The following is a 25,848-nucleotide window of genomic DNA, read 5'->3' as shown; positions in this document are numbered from 1 at the left end:
ACAACCCTCCCATGTACACTGATGTTCACTTTCAGCCGTGTTCTTAATCAGCTCTTGCACACAATGCGTTCTCTATTTGAAGGGTTTGCTGCTTTAATCTCAGACAATAACGGCCATTCACTTACTCTTGCCCGCACCTGCCTTCTCGATACTACAATTCCTTCACTGGAATCGCCCTCTCATTGACCTAAATCATTCATTACAAAGTATTTCAGACAAGCTCTCGATAACCCTGGAGTAGAGGTGGCACCTGTCTTTCTTTCATTTACAATACCTTTCCACTCCAGAAAGCTCCAGTCACCACTCAGAAAGATTTCTTTTCTCCTATGTTTACAATAAGCAGCTTTGCCTTTAGTAACAAAACCTGAGACCACCAGATCTTTGGGTCTACTTATTTATCCAACAAGGTTGATGAGAGCTGACGCGAGGAAGCAGGTATTCTACATTCCCAGTGGGAGTGAAAGGGGATAGAACATTTCTGGAGAGCAATTTTATAGTATGTAGCAAAAGCTTCAGAATAAAATCATCAATAAAATATTAACATTAAGTAATTAGCCATTACTATTAACTAATAATATTAAATAAATTATTAATACTTCTAAATTATTTATCCAAATAAGTGTATTTCAAGAAATTTCTTTTTTATGCTTAAAAATGCACATGTACAGTATGCTTAAAAACACACCCAGGAATGTTCAGAGTGTCTCCCTCTGTGGTAAGTTTACAGATGACTTTTCTTTGTTTTATTTCTACTTTCTACATGTAAAAAAGGATGGTGCTGTATTACTTTTGTAATATAAAAAAGCAAACAACAGCCACCAAAAAAGAGGGAGGGGAAAGAAAAAGGAAAGGGAGAGTGAGAAGGAAAAAGGAAAAAAAAGGCTGAATGACTGATACCTGACGTAAAAAAATAAATACATAAGTATGAAGGTCCTCGAACGTGGCCTATTTGTATATGCCGTAATTTGACCCGTGCCTCTCCCCTGATAACATGGAGGGAAACGGCACTTACGTTTCGTGCTTTCAGAGCCCGTAAGCAATCTAACTGAGTTCTGTGGATCTTTGGCCCTTGATTTCTGTCCCATCACAACAAAGAAAACAGAGCACATGCTGGCTTTGACAGAACTGATTTAATTATATTTGCTTACATGAGCCAGTCAGGGCTTGTGAAACACCATGCCTTCAGGGGTTGAAATACACCTGGCCTTTGATCACGGCAGAGTGAAAACTTCTCCTCACACTCATGTCTGCATCCTAGGAAGAAGGTTCTGATGCTTCTGCATCCTAGGAAGAAGGTTCTGATGCTGGGGTTGATGGGAGTCCCTAAGGGTTCCTGGCACTGCCCTAACCTGCTCACTCGTGGTCTCAAAGAAATTCTACTCCTTAAATAATTTCTTCTAAGCAAGACCGGATCTTCTACTCCCTTTGGCGTTCCTTCAAAACTTGTCAACATATCTGCAGGCACATAGTCTTCGTGTAGGCGTTCTAGACTAATGAAATGTTTCTGCTTCTCATTTCTTCCACCTTGGGGATTGCTGAGGTAATATTCTAACTATAACCTGCAAGAAGATCGGGGGAAGATTTTCATACACCTGCGTGGCTTTGGAAACTGGGGAAGCTGGGGCACCTCATGAACTAAAGAAACAGAAACAAACATGAGGGCTCCTAAAGCTGGAGTGTCTGAGCCATAGGAAAGAGGGTGGGGTATCGAGCTGTGGCGGGAACTTGCAATCTCCTGTGATCTGTTTTATCGACATGGCAGCCTGCAGTGGTCCACACGCACCAGCAGGGATCCTCCTCTCCCAAGGTGTGCTTTATATGTGTGGCTGTGTGAAAATTATTGAAAACCATGTTTTTGTTTTGTTTTGTTTTGTTTTTGAGACAGTCTTGTTCTGTCACCCAGGCTGAAGTGCGATGGCATGATCTCAGCTCACTGCAACCTCTGCCTCCCGGATTCAGGCAATTCTCCTGCCTCAGCCTCCCAAGTATCTGGGATTACAGGCACCCACCACGCCTGGCTAATTTTTGTATTTTTAGTAGAGGCGGAGTTTCACCATGTTGGCAAGAATGGTCTTGAATTCCTGACCTCAGGTGATCCACCTGCCTTGGCTTCCCAAAGCGCTGGGATTACAGGCATGAGCCACCGCTCCTAGCCCATCTCTCTTTTTTTTTTTTTCTGTTTGACGAGGTCTCACTCTGTCAGCCAGGCTGGAGTGCAGTGGCACAATCATGGCTTACTGCAGCCTTGACCTCCTGGGCTCAAGTGACTCTGCTGCCTCAGCCTCCTGAGTAACTGGGACTACAGGTATGTGCCACCACACCCAGCTAACTTTTAAAAAGTTTTTGTAGAGATAGGGTTTTGCCATGTTTCCCAGGCTGGTCTGGAACTCCTGGGCTCAAGCAATCTGCTCACCTCGACCTCCCAAAATGCTGGGATTACAGGTGTGAGCCACTGCATCGGGCCAAAAACCGTCTCTTAATGGATACACTTATTTCAATACCCATTAGAAGAGGAAGGCATTTAGAAGTTATTTCAGTCTTTAAATGCTTATTTTTCCACCACCATGTATAAATAGAAAGAGAAAAAAAGCTAGAAATCGTCGTCTGCCTGAGCAGAAATGCCATGTACCTCACTGGCTGCAAGTACTTGTGCTGTAGGTTGAAAGGTGACCCCTACAAAATATGTCCACTTGGAACTGTGAATGTGACCTTATTTGGAAAAAGGGTCTTTGCAAATGTAATTAAGTTACAGATCTTGAGATGAGATCATCCTGGATTATCTGGCGAGTCCCAAGCCCAGTGACAAGTGTCCTTATACAAATATGGGAAGACATAGGCAGAAGACAGAACACTCAAGAAGGCCACATGAATGAAGTCAGAGGCAGAGACTGGGGTGACACAACTGCCACTAGAAGCTGGATGAGGCAAGGCAAGGAGTGCCCCAGAGCCCGCAGAGGGAACATAGCCCCACCACTACTTCGATGTGGGGCTCCTGGGCCCTAGAACTGTAAGAGAGTAAATTCCCATTGTTGTAAGCCACAGAAGATCTCTCTTTTTTTTGAGATGGAGTGTTTGCTCTGTCACCAGGCTGGAGTGCAATGGCACGATCTTGGCTCACTGCAACCTCTGCCTCCCGGGTTCAAACAATTCTTCTTCCTCAGCCTCCTGAGTAGCTGGGATTACAGGCACACACAACCACACCTGGATAATTTTTGTATTTTTAGTAGAGATGAGGTTTCACCACGTTGGCCAGGCTGGTCTTGAACTCTTGACCTCATGTGATCCACCCGCCTCAGCCTCCCAAAGTGCTGGGATTACAGGCATGAGCCACTGGGCCTGGCCCACAGCAGACTTCTTACAGCAGATTTAGGACATGAGTACGCCTTGTCTTTATTCATTATCCATCCTTGTCAGCCCTCTGGTCACCTGGTAGGGTTGGAAACAGCAAATTGATACGTGCCTATCACTCTAGAGAGCCCTTTTTCATTAAAAAAAAGGTAGCTGTTTTGGGAATGCACGTCCTGAAATGCATTTCAGTTCCGCAAATTTACCTGTTCAACGAGTTTTCTCTTTTAAATTTCTGAATCTCAGTTTCTTTCTCACATTTCCTCTCTGTGTACTTCCCACATTTCTGTGGCACCCTGACTTTTGACCCCTGGAGAACTCCCTAAACAGCAGAGGTGACGGGAGGGGACAGGCAGTGTGCTTCCATCTGCCCAGCTACCCAGGAGCGCTGCTTTTACTCACAATCCTATGACTGGCCTCCTTGTCCATATTTTACCCTTCTCCTAAAACCCAAGTGAGCAGATCACTTGAGGTCACGAGTTCAAGACCAGCCTAACCAACATGGTGAAACCTCATCTCTACTAAAAATACAAAAATTAGCCAGGTGTGATGGCGTATGCCTGTAATCCCAGCTACTCAGGAGGCTGAGGCAGGAGAATTGCTTGAATCCGGGAAGCAGAGGTTGCAGTGAGCTCTTTCAAGCGCAAGTTACAGAGACTTAGCATGAATTACTGTAATAAAAAAAAAACAGGCAATGGCTGGGTGTAGGAGCTGATGCCTGTAATCCCAGCACTTTGGGAGGCTGAGGCGGGAGAATCACTTGAGCTCAGGAGTTTGAGACCCACCCGGGCAACATAGCCCGACCTCGTCTCTACAAAAAGAAAAACAAAGGACATGAATTGACACATAACTGGGCAGGGCCAGACTGGTGCTACCTGTAGAATGGACTAGATCCATGACTGAAACACACCGTCAAGTCTCCCCTCCCTCTTGTCTCTCATACTCTGGCTTGCCTCCTCATCTGCGTTACCTCTCCCCCATCAGGCTGAGGTTGAATGGCCATCTCTGCTCTTTCTGTCTTCTTTGTCGAAACGACAAGCATGCAAAACCCTGCTGAACCGTGCGAGATAAATAGGAAATCCATCCCGGTGGTGATACTGGAAGTGTCACCTCCAAATCCATAGGAATCAGCATGGAGAATTGCTAAGCTTCTTAGGAGAGGGACCCCAGCTCCCTTTGTCTTCTCTCTGAGTCTGCACAGGGCTGTCTTCCCATAAGGACACACTCATGTGCTCCAGCGTGCGCTCATTGTAACTGATTCCATCTGCAATGACCTTATTTCCAAATAAGGTCACCATCCGAGGAAGTGGCATGACGGACTTTAACAGAGCTTTCTGAGGCGACACCGTTCACTCCGGAACAGAGACTGAGATGCAGCTGCCTAAGAAACGCTCTGGGCTGGAATGTAAGTGAAGAAAGTGGCTTGGAGTGCTGCCACTGGGTTAACTAAGGAGAGGGCTGAAATGACCCGTTTCAGGGGACCCATGGGACACAAGCCTGATGGGCACAAGTTCCTGAGGGAAATGGAGAAGAGAAATTGGGAATTGCAAATACAGAAAAGTTGTTTTAGGAGTTGCTGTGAAGAGAGGGAGAAAGATAGGGTAGTGGCTGGAACAAGACGTGGCGCCAAGAGAGGGTGTGTTGTTTCGGGGAGGACCCTTAGCCCATGCTGATGGGTGAGAGCCAGAACAGAGCGGAGAGTGGAGGATGCCTGAGAGAAGGGGGAGGATTGCTGGAGGGGAGAGGATCTGTGCTCAAGGAAGGGGTGGTTTAGAAATGGCAGCCACAGGCTGGGCGCGGTGGCTCACGCCTGTAATCCCAGTACTTTGGGAGGCTGAGACGGGCAGATCATGAGGTCAGGAGTTCAAGACCAGCCTGACCAACGTGGTGAAACCCCCTGTCTACTAAAAATACAAAAATAAAATTAGCCGGGTGTGGTGGTGCGCACCTGTAATCCCAGCTACTCAGGAGGCTGAGACAGGAGAATCCCTTGAACCCGGGAGGCGGAGGTTGCAGTGAACTGAGATCATGCCATTGCACTCCAGCCTGGGTGACAGAGCGAGACTTCGTCTCAAAAAAAAAAAAAAAAAGAAAAGAAAAGAAAAGAAAAGAAAAGAAAAGAAAAGAAAAGAAAAGAAAAGAAAAGAAAAGAAATGCAGTATTCAGGCCTCCTCTGAGCCGTTCAAGTGCATTTAAACTGTTCAGGCTTGTGCTGAGCCGCACAGGCGGGAAATCCTTGGGTGAAATACACTGACTCACTGATGAATATGTGTAGTTTTGTTCCTGGAAATACTTGTTTCTCTGGGTTATTTCACTGTGTTGGGATAATTTTGCATGCTGTTCTATCTGGATCTGCCAGACTTCATCTGGACAACAGATGCATCAGCTACACTAAGGCCCGATCCGAGACTTCTGATGCATAAAGCATGCAACTTCGCGCACGGATGTACTTTCCATTTGAAGTACTGCTAGAGATTTGTGCCCTCAAACACGGGAATTTTGGTAAGTTCTATTTCACACCATTTCCATAAAAAAGAAATATGTTCCATTTACTATGATGTACTATGCATTCTGAAGGATATATGAAACGGGCGAGACCTTCCATCTCGACGAGGTGTTAATGAGAACAGAATCTACTGCTTACAGTTTTATGTATCTGAGGTTGGAAGATTTTCCACAGGCCAGCATCTGGTTCTGCACACTTCAAACCTTGTGTCTGTCACTCTGTAACCAGAAAGGGGTCCCGATCCAGACCCCAAGAGAAGGTTCTTGCACTTCGCACAAGAAAGAATTCTGGGTGCATCCACAGAGTAAAGTGAAAGCAAGTTTATTAAGAAAGTAAAGGAATAAGAATGGCTACTCCACGGACAGGGCAGCGGCTTGGCTGCCCACTGATTACACTTATAGTTATTTCTTGATTATATGCCAGATAAGGGGTTGATTATTCATGAATTTTCTGGGAAAAGGATGGGCTATTCCCGGAATTGAGGGTCCCTCCCCCTTAGACCATATAGGGCAACTTCCTCACGTTGCCACGGCATCTCTAAACTGTCCTGACGCTGGTGGAAATGTGAGTCAGCATGCCAATGCATTATAATCAGCATATAATGGCAGTGAGGACAACCAGAGGTCACTGTTGTCACCATCTTGGTTTGGTGGGTTCTGACCAGCTTCTTTAACACGTGCTGTTTCATCAGCAAGGTCTTTGTGACCTATATCTTGTGCCAACCTCTTATCTCATCTGTGACTAAGAATGCCTAACCTCCTGGGAATGCAGGAGGTCTCAGCCTCATTTTACCCACTGCCTATTCAAGATGGAGTCACTGTGGTTCGATTGCCTCTGACAACACTGCTTTTGGAGTTCTGGGGCCAGCCCCCATGGCCACATTCACCTTGCCATTGTGCCACAGCCAGCGTCGTCAGGCAGGCTGTGATGCCGGGCACATCAGCAAGGTAGGGAGTGGGAGGGTGACCAGCAACCTGATGCATGGGAATAACTGTCAACCACAGAGACGTTGCCCCTAACCTCAATTAAATGTAGCCCCATTCGATTTCTCCTGAGTCAAATCCCCCAAAAGCAGATGCTCCAACGCTGGCCCCCATGAGGGGAAGGAGGGTGAGGGGAAAGACAGGGAGGGAAGAGAGAGTAGCCTTGACTGATTGCAAAGTATCCTACTCGCAAATTTTAAGAAAAACATGACCAATTTGTGACCAAATTACTAGGCCCCTCCCAGGATCTGGAACGGACTCCTGCGGGTGCAGGGCCCTGGAGCGCACTTACATTAGCATCACCAAGTCCGCCTCTGGTGCAAAGAGGTGGTTTCCTGCCATAAGAAAATGGGCGCAGGCGTCCAGCAAGACCGTGGACTCCCATAGGTTTCTGGCCCTCTACCTCCAGACCGACCCCGCAGAGAAGTGTGGATTAGAGGAACTAACAAAAATAGCACGTTCTGTTTTTTCCCATTTCTCAAGGCGCTGTGGAATAATTATTGCTTGTCCCCATCCACCACAGAAATCTGCAGCAGCAGTCCAGGCCATTGGGGCCAGTGTCTGGGACACCGATATTGGGGCAGGACAGGGTCAGGAGAGGAAAGGGACGGAGGTGGAGGAAAGCAGATGGGCTCCACCACTGTGCTGGGTGTTGTACCACTCCTGCACCCTCTTCAGCTCCATGGGGAGACTGTCTCCTCCCTGTCACTTATTTCCAAGAGCCTAAAAGCTAGACAAGAGGAAAGGCGCTGTCTGGTGGAATGGCAGCTGTATTAGGGTCCTCTGGAGAAACAGAACCCCAGGCTCTCTGTGCATAGAGAAGAGGCGATCTACTGTTTGGCTCATGGGTTATGAGAAGGAGGCTGAGAAGTGCCATGATCTGCTCTCTGCCGGCTCAAGATCCAGGAATGCTGGTGATGCAATTCAGTCTGAGGCTGAAGCCCTGAGAACCCCAACCCCTGGGGCCTGGGGGCTGGGGTTGGAGGAAGGGCTCTAATACAAGCCCCAGAGTCCAAAGGCCCTAGAACCGGGAGCTCTGATGTCCAAGGACAGAAGAAGATGGATGTCTCAGTTCAAGGGGAAAGAGAGAGAAAGGGAGAATTCAGCCTTCTTCTGCTTTTGTATTCTATTCGGGCCCTCAGGAGATGGCATGATGCTCATCCACATTGGAGAGGGAGGTCTTCTTTACTCAGTCCACCGAGGCAAATGCCAGTCTCTGCTGGAGACACCCTCACAGACACGCCCAGAAATAATGTTTCACCAGCTGTCTGGGTATCCCTCAGCACAGCCAAGTTGACGTATAAAATTAACCATCACAGCAGCAGACAGGGGTGGTCAGTCAGGAGCTCTACGGTCCCCGTGTCTCCCCGCCCTGTAGCTCATCCCTCCCTGCTCCTTAGCTTCCCAAGAGGCACCTCCACTAGGATCTGGCCTTCAGCCCAAATGGGCACTCCCTGACAGAGTGGCCAGTGCCCCCGGGAAACATGAGCTTAGAGACCAAAGTAACTAGGCACCCTGCGGTACATCATCATAAAAGAAAAGCCAAAAAGTGGAACAACATATACCATCTAAAGCAGAATTATTGGAACAGGCTGACTAGGACTTTAAAATATTTATTATTTAGGGCTGGGCGCAGTGGCTCATGCGTGTAATCCCAGCACTTTGGGATGCCGAGGTGGGCGGATCACAAGGTCAGGAGATCGAGACTATCCTGGCTTACATGGTGAAACCCCGTCTCTACTAAAAATACAAAAAAATTAGCCAGGCGTGGTGGCGGGTGCCTGTAGTCCCAGCTACTCGGGGGGGCTGAGGCAGGAGAAGGGCTTGAACCTGGGAGGCGGAGCTTGCAGTTAGCCGAGATGGTGCCACTGCACTCCAGCCTGGATGACAGAGCAAGGTTCTGTCCCAAAAAAAAAAAAAAAAAAAAAAAGTATGTGTGTATATATATCATTTATTTTAATAGAAAAGGAAGATATTGATCATATAAAACAGGAACAATAAGTCATTATTTATTATTATTTACTTTATTTTATTTTTGAGATGGAGTCTTACTCCATTGCCTAGGCTGGAGTGCAGTGGCGCTACCTCGGCTCACTGCAACCTTTACCTACTGGGTTCAAGTGGTTCTCCTACCTCAGCCTCGGAGTAGCTGGGATTACAGGTGTCCACCATCACACCCAGCTTTAAGCCATTATTTTTAAAGAACTAAGGGCCGGGCGTGGTGGCTCATGCCTGTAATCCCAGCACTTTGGGAGGCTGGGGTGGGGAGGGGATCACAAGGTCAGGAGATCGAGACCATCCTGGCTAACATGGTGAAAACCCATCTCTACTAAAAATACAAAAAATTAGCTGGGCATGGTGGTGGGCACCTGTAGTCCCAGCTACGTGGGAGGCTGAGGCAGGAGAATGGCGTGAACATGGGAGGCAGAGGTTGCAGTGAGCCGAGATCGCGCCACTGCACTCCAGCCCGGGCGACAGAGCAAGACTCTGTCTCAAAAAAAAAAAAAAGAACTAAATAGAACTATGAAGTGTGAACGCATCTAGTTGAAATAAAGGGCTCAGTAGATGCAGTTTAAGGGTTTGATGTCAGTCAAGGTGCAGTGGCGGGCACTGTGGGAAGGAGTTTCCACACAGCAGCAGCAGGCAGCGGGACTGGACTCCTCCCCTGCTATGGGTGGCAGCCACCAGGCAGGTGGCCCCTGCTATCATAACACCTCGGAATCTTCACAGGAGCCAGAAATCTGCTCATCTGGCTTTTGTTGTTGCTGTTGTTTTATTTGTTTTAATGTGAATTCTCCACAATTTTAAATGTTGGCTCGATTATTAAAGAAAAAACTGGACAAAGCAAACAAGGCACGTCTGAGGGCCAGCACCACGGGTGGACTGCTGGTTTGCAAACTCCTCTGCACACCATTCTGTTGGGACGTTCTGTTGAGCCCAGTTGATTCATGATGTCTGAGCTGCTTAGAGTCCACATGATAATTCTTTTTCACAGTGAGGATCAATTACAGCATGAATTAAACCAAATGTGGCATTAGCTACCCAGCTAACACACAATAGACTACCACTGTTTAACACCTTATGTGTGACAGAGCCTTCCATGCCTTCTTTCATCTAATCCCACAACAACCCCCCAAGAGATCTGTCGCCATTTACTGTGAGCGGAGGCTCAGAGAGACTGAAATCAGAGCTGCACAGCTGTGTGCGGTGACACTGGGTCCTGCACGAGGGACAGACATGCTGAGACACAATGGCCTCTGCCCTGGAGGTGACAGCAGGACCTGGCACTCCCACCCTCTGTGTCCCCAGTGAATCAAACACATATTACAGTTTTTCTCTCAGGTCTCAGGTGTGAATCCAGATGGTTTGAAATGCTCACTTCCTAACCTGTAAAAAAATTGTAAAAGTCATTAAGAAATTTCTTAATGCATAAAACTTCACTTGCATATCATTATTGCTGGAAGTAAATTCCAAGAAAGTGGGCCCTGCCCATGAATATCAAGGAGGACATTTTGAACTGCCTGTACTGGAAATGCTGATGCAAGGGGGCTTGTGAAATCAGCAAATCTACGTTCCCAGAGCAGGAGGCCAGGAGGCCGGGCAGCCTTCGGGGTGGCTGGCTCCATGGGGTGCAGTTTCGTCAGGAACCCACTTCTCTCCACCTCTCCACTCTGCCGTCACCAGGGCTGACCTCCTCCTTGGAAGCAGGATGGCTGGGGCAGTTCTGTGTATCACATCCAGGCCAAGAAAGGGGCCATCTCTTCTCAGGGATCCTTCTAGACCTGATGAGACATTTCCTTGAAGCCCTGGGCGTTCTCATTTCCTGTTGGACAGAACTGGGTCCCAGTCCATTCTGGAACCCATCACCAGGAGGCGGGGAGTAGGCTTCTCTCAGGCTAGATGGGCCCAGCCTGACTGGGGTGAGGTTAGTTGGCCTCCCCGGGGACACATATTCAGGGAGTGTGGATCACAATGAGGTTGGGGTGGGGATGGAGATCTTTCAGGGAGGCCTCAAGGGGCGATGGGCCCTGGGCGGGTAACACACATGTCCCCGCACGTGTTGTGTGTACTCTGCATGAGTTCTGCGATGGCCATGACTGATGTTATTTCAGTATTGCACATGGCGTGGTCTGGTGCAGTGGCTCCCACCTGTAATCCCGCACTTTGCAAGGCCTACTCAGGAGGATCGTCTGAGGTGAGGAGTTTGAGACCAGCCTGGGCAACATAGCAAGACTCCATCTCAAAAAAAAAAAAAAAAAAAAAGAAAAGAAAAGAAAAAAAAAAGAAAACATTAGCTAGGCGTGGTGGTGCATACCTGTAGTCCCAGCTGCTTGGGAGGCTGAGGCGGGAGAATGGCTTGAGCCCGAAGTTTGAGGGCTTCCAGGAGAGGCTGCAGTGAGCTGTGATTGTGTCACTGCACTCCAGCCTGGGTGACAGAGTGAGACTGTCTCAAACTAAAAAAAAAAAAAGTATTATGCTTGGCATCCTGTCTCAACTGCAGATGCTGAAGGACTTTTCAGTGTAGTGGACCCTGGGGATTGGCAAAACAAACAACGTGTGTGGAAAGAGGGCAAAGTGAATAGTGATTTAAGGTGAAAACTGTTTTAAAAAAATAAAAATATAAAATGCTCACTTCACAAATGCAAATTCTGCAGAGGATACACTCTAGCGAAATGGGTCTATTCCTCCTCCTCCCCAGCCAGCCCCTGCCCGAGGCTGGGGACTCACAGGCTGTGTCCCAGACCTTGCCCTCACGGTCTGGTCCACCTGCCAATGCGCAGCACAGGACTCAGCATGGCCGGGGAACCACATGTTGCCTGGAGAGAGGCACAGACACAGTGGGAGAACTGGAGGAGGGGACAGAATGAAGCTGGGTCTGATTTCTCACATAGAAAATGGGGTTTGTGGCCAGGCGCAGTGGCTCACGCCTGTAAAACCCAGCACTTTGGGAGGCTGAGGTGGGTGGGTCACCTGAGGTCAGGAGTTCAAGACCAGCCTGGCCAACATGGCGAAATCCTGTTTCTACTAAAAATACAAAAAAAAAAAAAAAATAGCCAGGTGTGGTGGTGCACACCTGTAATCCCAGCTACTCAGGAGGCTGACAGGAGAATTGCTTGAACCTGGGAGGTGAAGGTTGCAGTGACCTGAGATCGTGCCACTGCACTCCAGCCTGGGCAACAGAGGGAGACTCTGCCTCAAAAAGAAAAAAAAAGAAAAAAAGAAAATGGGTTTGTGCCTGTTATGTAACCTTGAAGGGCTGAGAAAGCAGCCACACTCCCAAACCTCTGCTGGAGAAGGTTCTATTTGACTGTGGTCAGCTGTGGCCCCAAATCTGTGAACAACGGGCTGGGGCCAGAGAAAGTGGCATTCCGTGTAGAAATGCTACCGCGTTAGTGATTCAAGGAGGAACAATGGCCCGGAGATGTCTCCATCCTCAAGACGCTGGAGGGGTGACTGGGTGGCTCCAGTGGTGGGGAGAGTGTGGAGGGGAGAGAGGAGGGGGCCGTCAGGACACGTGGGCTGGGGGTCAGGGGGCTGTAGTCAGCCGTGTCCCGCAAAGCAGAAGTCCCCTGCTAGGTAGAGTCAGGACCAGGGCCGACTGGCACGGACCCCTCCAGGGGCGCCAAGAGCTTAAAACAAACAAGGCTGGAAGCAGCACAGCTGCGCTGCCGGCCCTGCAGGAGGGAGGGAGGGAGCCCAGGGCCTGGGTGAGGGTTGCGCGCGGCCCCTCCCAGGGGAGGAAGAGAGGAATAAAAGCCACGTGCGAGGCCACCACCAGGGAGGGGGGCGGGGGAAGAGGGTGGTGGCCGTGGGAGAAGCGGGGCGTAGCCACGAGAGCAGGGTGGGCCCCGGGGCCGGGCCGCGTGGGGTTCTCCGTCCTCCGGGTGCAGCCAGACCTGGCGGTGCAGCGGCAGCACCAGTGAGAGGCGAAGGGGGCCTGTGAGGCAAGGGGGACTTCCAGGCCCTGAGCATCTCAAGAAAACAGCCATGAAGCCCCACACCCAGGTGCCAGGTGCAGAGGCCAAGGGGTCCTGGGGACAGGAGCGGCTGATCTCCCTCAGGGTAGAGCAGCAGCGCGCCCAGGGACAGAACCGCCTGCCCTGCCGCGGGAGGGGGACAGGGACCCACCCTGGCCTGGGGCCCACAGAGTCCAGAGGACCAGGAGCTCGCCCCTGCTCCCAGCAGGAGGAAGGGAGCGGAGGAACACCCCTCCTGGGGACTTGAAGCTGGAATTGACTGAGTACTTACTGGATAGAGACCGGTTTAAACTGAGAGAGACTGTTCAAACTGGAGCAAAGTGAAAAGCTGTTACCCAGATAATGTAAGTTCTGTTCCTTGGGGGGCCCTGAAGAAGACTGGGTCAATTATGAAAATAGAGACAAAGCCATATTTCCTTGGCACACTTTGGTTATCTGCTATTAATACCGACATGCGGGTCGGGCGCGGTGGCTCATGCCTGTAATCCCAGCACTTTGGGAAGCTGAGGCGGGCAGATCACTTGAGGTCATGAGTTCGAGGCCAGCCTGGCCAACATGGTGAAACCGTGTCTCTCCGAAAAATACAAAAATTATACGGGTGTGGTGGCGGATGCCTGTAATCGCAGCTACTTGGGAGGCTGAGGCAGGAGAATCACTTGAACCCGGGAGGCGGAGGTTTCAGTGAGCCCATTGTGCCACTGCACTGGGCAACAGAGTGAGACTATCTCAAAAAAAAAAAAAAAAAAAGCTGTGAATGCCCAACAAGTTAGTTTTTTTACAAAAAAAAAACTATATATAGTGTATATTTTCCATACCTTACCTCTATTTTTTTAAGTAAACAATATATTGTGAATATTCATTGAAGCCAACACTTAAAGATCCATCACCTTTTAAAACTGTTCCAGAGACTTCCATACTACAATTTTAATTTCTTCAGTCCTCTATGGATGGAGGTTTAGATGAGGCTTATGTTTTCCCTTTTACAAAGTAATTCTGCGGTGAACATCCTTGAATAGTGATCTTTGTAAGAATGTCTTCAGAATCAATTTCTAGAAGTGGAAATTGTGGGAAGAAATGTATATGTATATTAAATTCTGAGAGGTACTTGGGACATCTTTTGATACTGGTGGAGGCTCTGGGAAGTTATTAAGAGAAGTGATAATGGAGGGTCAGGCCCCCGGCTGCTGTGGGGAAAAGAAGTATTCTCCATTATTCAAAATGTTCCTCTCCAAGAATTGGAGCATTGTAAGTTAAAAGTCTAATGAGTTGTAAGTGGCATATTTACAGAGTTTATACATTTCTAAATCCCGAACTGGATTTATAATATGATAGCAATATAGGAGTTTTAAGTTAAATTACATTTTATATTAAATTAAATTTCCTCCAAAACCCCGCACAGAATGTTTCCATAGGGCCAAGCCTGGCAAGAGTCTTTGGCGTATAATCAATCAAAGAAAAAATAGACAAGTTGGACATCATCAAAACCAAAATTTTTGTGCTTCAAAGGACACCATGAAAACAGTGAAAAGAAACTAACTGGTAGAAAATGTTTGCAAATCACATCTCTGATACAGAGGTTGCATTTAAAATATGTATAAATAATTATTCCAACTCAATAATAAAAAGACAACCGAATTTAAAAATGGGCAAAGGATCTGAATAGATATTTCCCCAGAGAAGATGCACAAATGGCCAACAGGCATATGAAAAAGTCCTCAACATCATGCATCCTCAGGGAAATGCAAATCAAAACTGCCGTGAGACTGCACAGTGACGAGGACCGCTAGAATAAAGAAGACAGATAATAACAAGTATTAGTGAGGATGGGAGAAATGGGAACCGCATACACTCTGGTGGGAATGCAAAGTGGTGCAGTCACTTTGGAAAACAATTCAGTGGTTCCTCCAAAGGCTAAACATAGAGCTCCGATATGACCCAGAACTTCCACCCTTAGACATACACCCAAGAGAAATGAAAACATACGTCCACCCACAAACTTGTACATAAAGGTTCATAGCAGCATTCTTAATAATAGCCAAAAAGTGGACACAATCCAAATGATCAGCAACTGATGAGTGGATTAATACAATGCGGTCTCCTCGTATAACACAATATTATTTTGCCATAACGAGGAATGGAGTAGTGTTACAGGCTGCAACCTGGATGAACTTTGAAGACATTACGCTAAGTGAAAGAAGTACAAAGACCACATATTGTACCATTCCATTTATATGCAATGTCCAGAACAGGAAAATCTATAGAAACAGAAAGTGGATTCATGGTAGCCTAGATGTGGGGGTAATGGGAGGAGGATGAGGGAGTGAGGGCTGAAGGGTCTGGGTTTCTTTGAGGGGTGACGGAGATGTTTTAAAATTGGTTGTGGTGATGATTGCACAGCTCTGGGATATGCTAAAAGCCATGGAATCGAACACTTCAAATGGATGAATTGTATGATATGTGAATTAGAGCTCAATAAAGCTGTTCCCAAATAGTCTTTCTTTCTCTCCTTTTTTTTTTTTTTTTTTTTTTGAGACAGAGTCTTGCTCTGTCACCCAGGCTGGAGTGCAGTAGTGCGATCTCAGCTCACTGCAACCTCTGCCTCCTGAGTTCAAGCGATTCTCCTGCCTCAGCCTTCCAGTAGCTGGGATTACGGGTGTGTGCCACCACGCCCAGCTAATTTTTGTATTTTTAGTAGAGACAGGGTTTCACCATGTTGGCCAGGCTGGTCTTGAACTGCTGACCTCAGGTGATCCACCTGCCTCGGCCTCCTAAAGTGCTGGGATTATAGGCGTGAGCCCCGGTGCCCGGCCCAAATAATCTTTTGATTGGGACCTAATCATAATAAAATTGGGAGAGGAGAATTGGTGGTCCCTGTTTCCAGAAGCTCCCAATTTGCACCAGGATTGTTGCTGATGAGCTTCTCAGCTGTCAGACCTTAAATATCCCTGATATGAGGTTGTTGCTCATTCACTTCCTCCAGCATAACTCCTTTCCATTCCACACAGCAAATGCCAGCCCAGACGGACCAATTGTCCCAGAGAAGGTAGGGGACATCTTAGCCTTCTAATTCAAATGGAAAATTTCCTGCTCCCCTGTTGTCAATTCCTGCCCGGCACTACGTGCAGCGGAGATGAGAAAAGCCACTTCCTTTGCATTCATCTGGACTGCTGTGCTTGGAGAACAGAGGAGCATGCATTCTGGCTGAGGGAGGTGTGCAAATATGACGTGCAAGTCAGAGACAAAGTGACCTGGCAAACGAATGCTCTGACAGCGCATCCCCGGCCATGTCCCAGGGATCCCATCCTTTGGGTTGTTGTCCTTCTAAAGAGACATCTGCTTTTGAAAACTGTGCTTTGTGGCCGGGCGCGGTGGCTCACGTCTGTAATCCCAGCACTTTGGGAGGCCGAGGCGGGCGGATCACGAGGTCAGGAGATCGACACCACGGTGAAACCCCGTCTCTACTAAAAATACAAAAAAAATTAGCTGGGCGCGGTGGCGGGTGCCTGTAGTCCCAGCTACTCGGGAGGCTGAGGCAGGAGAATGGCGAGAACCCGGGAGGCGGAGCTTGCAGTGAGCTGAGATCGCGCCACTGCACTCCAGCCTGGGCGACAGAGCGAGACTCCGTCTCAAAAAAAAAAGGAAAACTGTGCTTTGTAAATGATGAACTTGAGCAACGCAAAGAAAGGACCTAGTGAACATTTAAATTCAACTTATTTCCTTTTAGGCTATCTTGTTATGTTTGTAGAACACTTAAGCATTTACAAAAATATAGTTCCATGCAGCATGCGTGTGCTGCTTTACATTGTATCATTGCTTAAATATTCCAACGTTAATGCGTCAAAATGGTCCTTTCCTTGTCATTTTCTTTACTTTTTTTTTTTTTTTTTTTTTTTTTTGAGACAGAGTTTTGCTCTTGTTGTCCAGGCTGGAGTGCAATGGTGTGATCTAAGCTAACTGCAACCTCCACTTCCTGGGTTCAAGCAATTCTCCTGCCTCAGCCTCTCGAGTAGCTGGGATTTCAGGCGCCCGCCACCATGCCCGGCTAATTTCTGTATTTTTAGTAGAGAGGGGGTTTCACCATATCTCTGCTCCTGACCTCAGGTGATCCACCCACCTCGGCCTCCCAAAGTGCTGGGATTACAGGGTGAGCCACCGCACTTGGCCCTGTCCTTGTCATTTTCAATGGCCATAAAGTATTTCATGGCACTCCATAATTTGTTTAGCTCTTTCCTCTATTGTTTGTCTGGTTTGTTTCCAGTTTTATACCGTGTGCAGTTGCAGCTGCTGTGTATTTATTTGTACATATTAGCTTTTTTCTTTGAAATTATTTTCTTGTAGTGTATTCCCAAAAGTGGGATTATTGGGCCAAACAGTTCCATAGCTCTTGTTACATTATTGTCTGATCTTTCTCAAGAAAGAAAGAAAGAAAGGAACACCATAAGAAGCCATCACATATGGGCATGCTTATTTCCTGAAAGTCCTGCCAGTATTGTGCTTTATTCTTTAAAAAAAAAAAAAATTGTGCTACCTTAATAGACAGGAGATTGTTTTAAGTGACATTTCTGTCATTTCTGTCATTGCTGGGGGTTTGAAATACACCAACTTGGCATGGGCCCAGATGTCCACAGGTCTGTGTCGGGATCCCAGCCCGAAATCATGCAGCCAGCCACACCCGGAGGAGAATAAAGGGTCAACTAAGAGGCAAGCCAGCCAGTGCCCGGCTGCGGTTTCCCAACACCACGAGACTCACTGCAGGGAGCCCTGGGCCTCACGTGTGTGGGACACCCCAGATGCTCTGTGAATGTGGACTCCACATATTTGGTCCCTGGGGGGACACTGCAAGAATTGTTTCTATTAGTCTGGGGGTACAAACAGTAAGATCCTCCTTACCTTCTGGAAGGAGGTTGAGGGTGGTAGGCCCAGCTTGGATTACATGGAAGAGTGGGTTAGAATGGGGCTTTGTTTGTCTTATGGGGGTACTCTGGGAAGCTACGCAGGGACTGGGAGCTTGGCTCTGCCCCTCCTTCTCCCACTCAGGATGTGCGCTGAGGCTAAGCCCCTCGTACTGCCTCCAGCAACATCTCCCCTACAGCAATGACCTCTCGCCCAGACACAGGCGAGCTGCCTGAGTCCCAGGAGGTCTGTGCGGAGGGAGGTTTTAAGCCACAGGGTTCCCAGCTGGGTGCCCCCAGACAGGAAGTGGCCTCAGTTCCATGAACGTTTTTGATGGCGGAGATTCTCAGGGTCAGCAGAAGATGATCCTGTCTGGAGAGCTGTAGATCCACTGTTGGGGGTTCTCACCTCCCAGCCTTCAGACCTGCTGTTTCTCTGTGGGGTTCTCGCCTCCCAGCCTTCAGACCTGCTGTTTCTCTGTGGGGTTCTCGCCTCCCAGCCTTCAGACCTGCTGTTTCTCTGTGGGGTTCTCGCCTCCCAGCCTTCAGACCTGCTGTTTCTCTGTGGGGTTCTCGCCTCCCAGCCTTCAGACCTGCTGTTTCTCTGTGGGGTTCTCGCCTCCCAGCCTTCAGACCTGCTGTTTCTCTGTGGGGTTCTCGCCTCCCAGCCTTCAGACCTGCTGTTTCTCTGTGGGGTTCTCGCCTCCCAGCCTTCAGACCTGCTGTTTCTCTGTGGGGTTCTCGCCTCCCAGCCTTCAGACCTGCTGTTTCTCTGTGGGGTTCTCGCCTCCCAGCCTTCAGACCTGCTGTTTCTCTGTGGGGTTCTCGCCTCCCAGCCTTCAGACCTGCTGTTTCTCTGTGGGGTTCTCGCCTCCCAGCCTTCAGACCTGCTGTTTCTCTGTGGGGTTCTCGCCTCCCAGCCTTCAGACCTGCTGTTTCTCTGTGGGGTTCTCGCCTCCCAGCCTTCAGACCTGCTGTTTCTCTGTGGGGTTCTCGCCTCCCAGCCTTCAGACCTGCTGTTTCTCTGTGGGGTTCTCGCCTCCCAGCCTTCAGACCTGCTGTTTCTCTGTGGGGTTCTCGCCTCCCAGCCTTCAGACCTGCTGTTCCTCTGACTGGGTGCCTCCTCCATCTCATTCTTCTTGTTAAATCCTCTAATTTAAACATCAGCTTTTGCAGGAAGCTCACTCCTGACCTCCCCTTCTGGGTTAGGAGCTGCCTTCTGGGCTCCCATAGCACCCTGCCCTTCCTCTTCTTCACGCCTGTCATACTGGATCATGGTGGCTGGAACCACATTTGACCCATCTCGGTATCTGCCTTAGTACAGTACCCAGGGCATGGCTCGGTTTGTTGAGAGAATGGATGAATATGTCACAGGATGAAAGGGTGAATTAATTAACCCTTATATTTACAGTGGCCACCAGGGCCTATGGTTTGTCACAATCCTGAGTTGAACCAGATCTTTGTGAAATCTCTGAGACACATGAGCCATCCGGCTCTCTTTACTCCAGAACCACACCGTGGAGATGGCTGAGACTGACTCCCAAGTGGGGGAGAAGGGAGGTGCTCTGGGACCTGGCAGGCAACCAGCTCTATGGTTATCTTTTGGCTTTAGTAAAATTAAAATAATTTCTTCCTAACATACGTCAGGCTCTAGTTTTTTCCAGCAACCTCAGCATCCCCTTATGGAATGAGGCTAGAAAATTAAAAATAAACAAAAACGATAAATCAAAACTTTGTTGTGAGGAAGCAAATTTTCTTTTTTACTATGTCGGTCTAAAAAGCCCTTACAAAATATTCATGTATCACAATGCATTTTAGGTCCCCGAGTCCTCTCATCACCACGCTTCATTCAGTTTAATTCACACACAGTGATGAGCAGTTCCTAGATTCTGGACACATGGGGAGCCAAAGGTGGGGTTTCTTGGGTTAGGGGTGGGTGCAGAAATTCTAACCTGAGACAATCGCAGGAAATGCAAAAAACGAACAAAAAGTGAGCTGAGCTGGGAACTGTGCTGAAAGCTAAGTCTAAGAGCAAGAAGGGTAAGACAGTGGGTGGCCCAGGCCAAAGCTGTCAAGTATTTAGTTAGCAGCAGAAGAGAGGAAGAGGTGTGGGCACTGCCAGGCAGTGGGAAGCTGCACTGTCAAAGCCTTGTTTTGGCAGTGGTCACTGCAAAATGGTCTCAGAAAAGCCAACTATGTCAGGAATGGAAAGAACTTTCCAGAAAGGAAGAGAATATGGTCATTTCCTTCAAGAACTTCCTCCAACAGGAAGCAGGGACAGCAGACATATAATCAGCCATGAGTCATAGTACCAAGAATGAACTGGTAAGAACAGATGTGATTTTCCCGTCCATAACCACTTAACTTTTTACAATGATGACACATACATTGACAATATCTTTCTATTTAATAATTTAGACAAGATGCATATTAGTCTTCACTTAAGCAAGAGTTTACTTATCATGCCTTTGATATCAAAGATGGTTGCAAAAATCACTTTTAATTTTCAAAATTTTAAAGTTGCACATACTCTGTGGAGAAGAGGTAAATCAATAAACTAAAAATTCTTGCAACAATGTTGTTTTGCAGAATTTATAATTGTTTTAGCCAATTTCAGATTATTTAGAGGAATAGGTTAGGTGAGATAGAAATTATAAATTAATAGTAAAAGTAGAATCTCTTGATTCTACTATTTTCTTTTTCCCTTAAGTTGCAGCCACTTACAATTAAAATATAAGTTTTGTCAGTATATCACAACATCAAAGAAAATGGCAACTACCTATTTCTCAGGCAACTAGATATTCTATTTACTGTAATTATAATTTTCTAAAATACAAAGTTCTTCATTCTGGGAATCATAGATGCCTGGATAGCTGCAAGATTTTAATTTTATATTTTTATTTTAGTTTTTTTTAAATTAGCAATTCTAAGAATATAATGAGAAAACTTACAATGGTAATTTATATTTAATATTTTCATAAAAAGACTTTAAGTTTCTTAAGTCAGTGTTTTCTCAAACTGGGGTTCATGAGCATATTATGAAAGCCTAAAAACTATTTCTCTGTAAATTCTTCAAGTTCGAGAAACACTAACACATATTCTTATCATTCAAAGTCCATTCTTGTTTGTTTTTTTTGAGTTTCAAAACTAATGACACATTAAAGCTGTATCTCATATTTTGTAATATCTGCATGGCATTAAATTAACTCTCTGGTTGTTAAAGATTTACTTCTATGTTTATTTCTTAAAGCACTTTTGTTTTTCCACAGCAGGTCTTAAAATTGGCCAAGAAGGTGTTTTTTCTTTTCTTTGCCACAGGATCATGGTTTTTTCCATTGTTATTAAAGATTCAGGTAGGAGTTGCATGAATCCCACAAGTGAAATAAAATCTATTTATCTTTTCCTTATTATAAAGATTTATTTATCTTTTCCTGTTTGTCTTGCAGTTGCCTCACCTGAGCCACAATAGATGCGGTAGAAACGGGACACCTCAGAGATTTGATTTTGTCACGCTCTGAAATTCATAGTAAATCTCATCATGCCACTCCAATCTCTACCCCCAAATCCCTGTCCAAAGTCCACAATCCTTGGTGTGACATGACTCATTCATTCATTTAACATTTCCTGAGTATCTAATGTGTGCAGACTTGCTCTGATGGGCTCTGGATTCACAGAAGTGAAAGGACAGACGCAATTCCTGCCCACAGGCGAGAAGGACAGTGACACAAATGTGTCAATGATCGCATTTGGGATTGTTGAGGTCATGGAATCCAGAGTGACTGAGGAGCTGTGGCAGGAGGAGCTGACTGAGTTAGGACCAGGGGTTTGTGAGGCTGGAGTCCGTGAATGCGAAGAAAGGACTTCTTGGGAATAGGAAATGGTGGGGAGGAGGAATTACATTTTCTACTAACTTCAAACTGAAATTTAGCATTTTCTTTAATTAGGAATGTGGGCAATAAACCATGTGGTCTAGGAGCACCGGTATTTTGACACCAGTGGAAACTACAGATATTTTCATATTACATGGCAGTTGTTGACAATACCTTGAAATATTTACACATTTCACCACTGAGACACCATGGTACTTGGAGCCCCTTTGCTAGATCTTGTTATTTAATGTGTTAATAGATGACATCTATTACTATTTTTTTAATGTTGTGATTACTGTATTTCAATGTCATTGGTTGCCTTTGTCATCCTGTGTATTTAATTTATGCATTTAAAAACATGACTCTGAAAAGAGACTCATAAACCTCACAGAGTTGCACAAGGGGTTGATGGCCCAAAAAAGAAAGAGAAGCCCTGAGCCCAGCCCTTGCCTTGTGGCTGCCACTGGCCCCCAGCCTGGGAATCTGCTGTGGCCTCTGGGCCTCGCACATGCTGTTCCTTACCCCTGTGTTGTCCGTTCCCTCCTCTCTGCGTGGCATTAAATTCTGATGGCTCCCATCATGCTTTGCATGGACATGAAAAATTACCAACTTTGGGAAGCCTCCCTGGTGGTGCCGCACAGGCTACGTGTCCTAGCCAAGTGCTCAGTATCTTCTCCCACTCCCTCCTCCCTCACCTCACGCTTGTCACACGGTATTGCAGTTGCCTCTTTCCTCGTCTGCCTTCTTGAACGTTCTGTGAGTTACTTGACAGAGAGGACCCCTCTTCTCCATCCCTGATCCCCTGTGTGTGATGTGCTTATTACAGGAATTCAACACAAGGATACGTAATGCAGGAAGAATAGATGGATGGACAGATGGATGGATGGACGGATGGATGGATGGGTGGACAGATGAGCAGATGGATGGATGGATGGATGGACGGACGGATGGATGAGCAGATGGATGGATGGGAGGACAGATGGATAGATGAATAGGTGGATGGATGGATGGATGATGGATGGATGAAAAGATTCAGATACAGGTGCAAAGTATTTCACATATACAATCTCTTTATTCAGTGTTTCTCCTCTTAGAAATTATATTTTTCTTCCAGCGAAGGTTGGTGGGAATCTTTGTGCTGATAATACCCACAGCTCTTCTCCCATAGCAGGATTTGAGGGAAACTTGGCAAGAAACACTGCCTCTGAATCCAGCCTCCCTGCCGCAGCCCCAGGTCGAGCAGGTGGACCGGAACCACGGTCACTGACCAGGGTATCTGATCCTCTCAGTCTGAAGGAAAGTGAGAACTCAGCACAAACGCCATGGACGGTACAGTGTGGGAGGGAGCAGCCTAGAGAGAGAAGCACGAAGCACTCGCTCATGTCGGAGGAGGAGGAAGAGCGATCCATGGGCAGGCAAGCCTTTTCCATGGCACAAAAAAGAATTTTAGAAGCATCCAGTTGCATAAAGACAGGAAAAGGGCATCTGTTTCAGCCAGTGTACCACAACAAACCACCCACTCGCAGATGAAATGCACTTTCACAGCTGCCTCTGAAAATGGGTTTGAAAAACCAAATCCAAAATAAAAATAGGGACTCTCATTTATTGAGAGCTTACTATGTGTTGTGAGACTTTCCTATGCTATCCCCAGTCTCACCACGTGAATGCTGGCACAGTTACTATCACTATTTTACAGACTAGGTGACAGGCTCAGAGAAGTTAAGTCACCCGAGGGAGGCCACATAGATTTAAGTAGCAGAGTCAGAATTTGAACCCAGGTCTTTCTAATCTCAGAGCCAAGTCTTCCATTTGCATTAAATTAATCTTTAATTTATGGAAAAGTTTCATCCTCTTGAGGGAGAAATCCGTGTAATAACTCTGAAATAAGACCATTTTTATGAGTATTAGGTGGGGACTTTCAAAGGCTCTTTTACCTCAACTGGGTAAAATAGTATCCTCTTTGGGGGAGTTTGACCTGCGGGCTCTGCAGTTGGGTGGGAAGTCTGTTGATTTTGGGAGCAGCCTCTGAGCTGGAAACAGGAGTATTACAGACAACAAGGATTTTATGAAAGAGAAGGCCATGACACAAAGTCTCACTGCAATCCCATGATTTCCTTTGCAGGGGAATTTGAGAGAGAGACCTCCTTCAGACCCGGTTAGCGCACTGTTTTCAAAAAACCTGAATGGAACAACCTGTTGAGAGAGCAAAGAGCGCTTGTGTTTGTGGCACACGGGAGCCTGGCGGCCGCAGGTGCATGTCAACAGGAGACCCACGGCAGGCCTCCCCTCCACGGCCCCTCCCACACCCCAGACTTAGACATGCTGGTACTGGACATCCTGAGCTGCTTCAAGTTGGAACGTCACATCCTCCAGAGTTCCAGGCGGCACTAAAGTCTCTGGGACATGGTCAGCTGTTTAGATGGGTTCCCAGGAAGGCTCACTGTTCTGGAAAGGTCTGTAAGCCTGTGACCTGAGCTCCTTGAGGTTCAGGGGGCAGGTCTGACTGAAGCAGAGTTTTCCCTTCCCCGGCTCAGGAGGGATTTCCCACTTCTCCCTGGTGAGTGTCTGAGGGTAGTGACTCTGCCAGGCTGGGGGCCGCAGGTCCCGGAAGCCCAGGGCATGGATGCTTGTGGGTATTCAATTGATGTCTTTCCCATAGTTGGTTTCATTTAGGCATTGTATACGTATTTTCTGCCAAACTCTGTTACACTTCAAGCTCCATGAAAGCAGGGACCATGACTACTTTGTTAACTGTATAACCAGGGCCTGGCCCTGAGGCTGGCACTAGATGCCCAACAAAGGCTTGTTGAATGAGTGGCCAACACCTTACCTTTTCTACAGTTGGTCTTTCTGGTTAAAGAGAAAGAATGAAAGTGATGGGATTGACACTGTGTTCTATGGAAATGCTGCTCCCTGGAGTTGTGCAACATAAGTGCTCCAGATAGAAGGGCACACAGCAAAGCTGACTCAGGCGATGGTGCAAGTTCAATTTTTAACTTTTGTGCCCAGAAAGTCCTCATGTCTCAACTCCTGGCTGGGCCTGGGATGGTCCCAAAGTCTTCAGGCTGATGTTTCTTTAAGGTCGTCCTAGGAAGCAGGACCAGAGTCCTCCTGTTCATGAAGTCCAGGGCTCCCTGCGATGGTCCCCAGATTGGGTACATCCATGGCCCTGCCTGTGCTCCTGCTATATCTACCCAGGGCCAGGCGCTTCCATCTCTCACCTTCCCCTCTCTGCCAGCTCTCAGCATGCCTTCCAGGACATGGCTTGTGTTTGGCTAATGTTTGCATGGAGTTCAGTCTCTCTCCTGGAGAAAAGGGCAGATATTCTGATGGCTGGGGCACCAGCTGGGGCTGTGGATTCCAGCAGCGCAGCAGAGGGGAAGAAGCCCTGGAATCTGAGTCTGGAGGCCGGGTCAGAGTCTCGACACTGATCGTCAGCTCACTAGAAAATGAAGGCACTGTGATGCCTGAGGTGTTGGCTGCCTCTAGGGTTCCATGAGTCTCAGACACCCACCTCTTCAAGAGTAGGTGCCAAGGCTGTCACGGATTTGCAATGATTTTCCCATGTGTTAACTGGAAACTTAAAGGAAACATTAGCCATGAGGGTTGGGAGCTTAGATTAATATTTAGAAAGGATTTACAAATAAAAGAACCCAGTTAATCCCAAAATAGAAGTCTTTTCATTTCTATTTGCGTAGTGGGTGGAGATGGAGTCCCTGGCTAGGACATTTCCCATAACCTTCCCTGTCAAGCCCCTCTGCTGTAGCAGTTTCTAACTTTACAGCCACAAAGCCAGCATGTGCTTCCCACAGCTTCAGCCCCGACTGCCGGAGGATGCATTCAGGGTTCTGACTCTGGCCCGAGGAGGAGGCACAGTGCTTGCCAAGTGAGTGCCGACTTTTGCAAGCAAAGCCTCAGGACAAAATGGAGAGGCAACCATGACAATGGTGTCAGATCACTCTATACAGCATAAAAGATTAAGGGCTAGACTTTGGTGTGAGACAGGCTTCAATCCTTGAACCATTGTTTGGCCAACTAATTGGCTTACTTAAGCCTCAGATTCCTTATCTGTTAAATGAAGATAAAAATGGTGTCTACATCAGACAGTTCTTGTGAGAATACAGTAACACAGCTAAAGCTCTTAACCTAACGCCCAGCAAGCAGTAAGTGCTTAATAAATACTGGCTATTATTATTATGCTTTTGCTACGGTTTGAATGTGTCCCCTAAAGTTCATATGTTGGAAACATAATCTTCGGTGCAAGTGTTTAGAGGT

The 25,848-nt window shown here is 47.2% G+C and overlaps 2 annotated features.

Moving 5' to 3' along the window:
- Nucleotides 6,020-7,219: an enhancer, noted in NCBI's record as "BRD4-independent group 4 enhancer chr4:184269461-184270660 (GRCh37/hg19 assembly coordinates)". NCBI's record gives its function as "activates an origin of replication core promoter dependent on BRD2, P300/CBP, MED14 and CDK7 cofactors, and independent of BRD4, by STARR-seq in HCT116 cells {active_cell/tissue: HCT116}" and the evidence as "EXISTENCE:reporter gene assay evidence [ECO:0000049][PMID:35650434]".
- Nucleotides 20,647-20,816: an enhancer, noted in NCBI's record as "experimental_76759 CRE fragment used in MPRA reporter constructs". NCBI's record gives its function as "activates a minimal promoter by MPRAs in K562 erythroleukemia cells, with activity observed for the introgressed 4:184255949 variant allele {active_cell/tissue: K562}" and the evidence as "EXISTENCE:reporter gene assay evidence [ECO:0000049][PMID:34662402]".

This window comes from Homo sapiens, chromosome 4 (genome assembly GCF_000001405.40).
Source record: "Homo sapiens chromosome 4, GRCh38.p14 Primary Assembly".
Classification (NCBI taxonomy): Eukaryota; Metazoa; Chordata; class Mammalia; order Primates; family Hominidae; genus Homo; species Homo sapiens.
The sequence above is the reverse complement of the archived record's forward strand: the minus strand, read 5'-3'. Positions and strand labels throughout refer to the sequence as shown.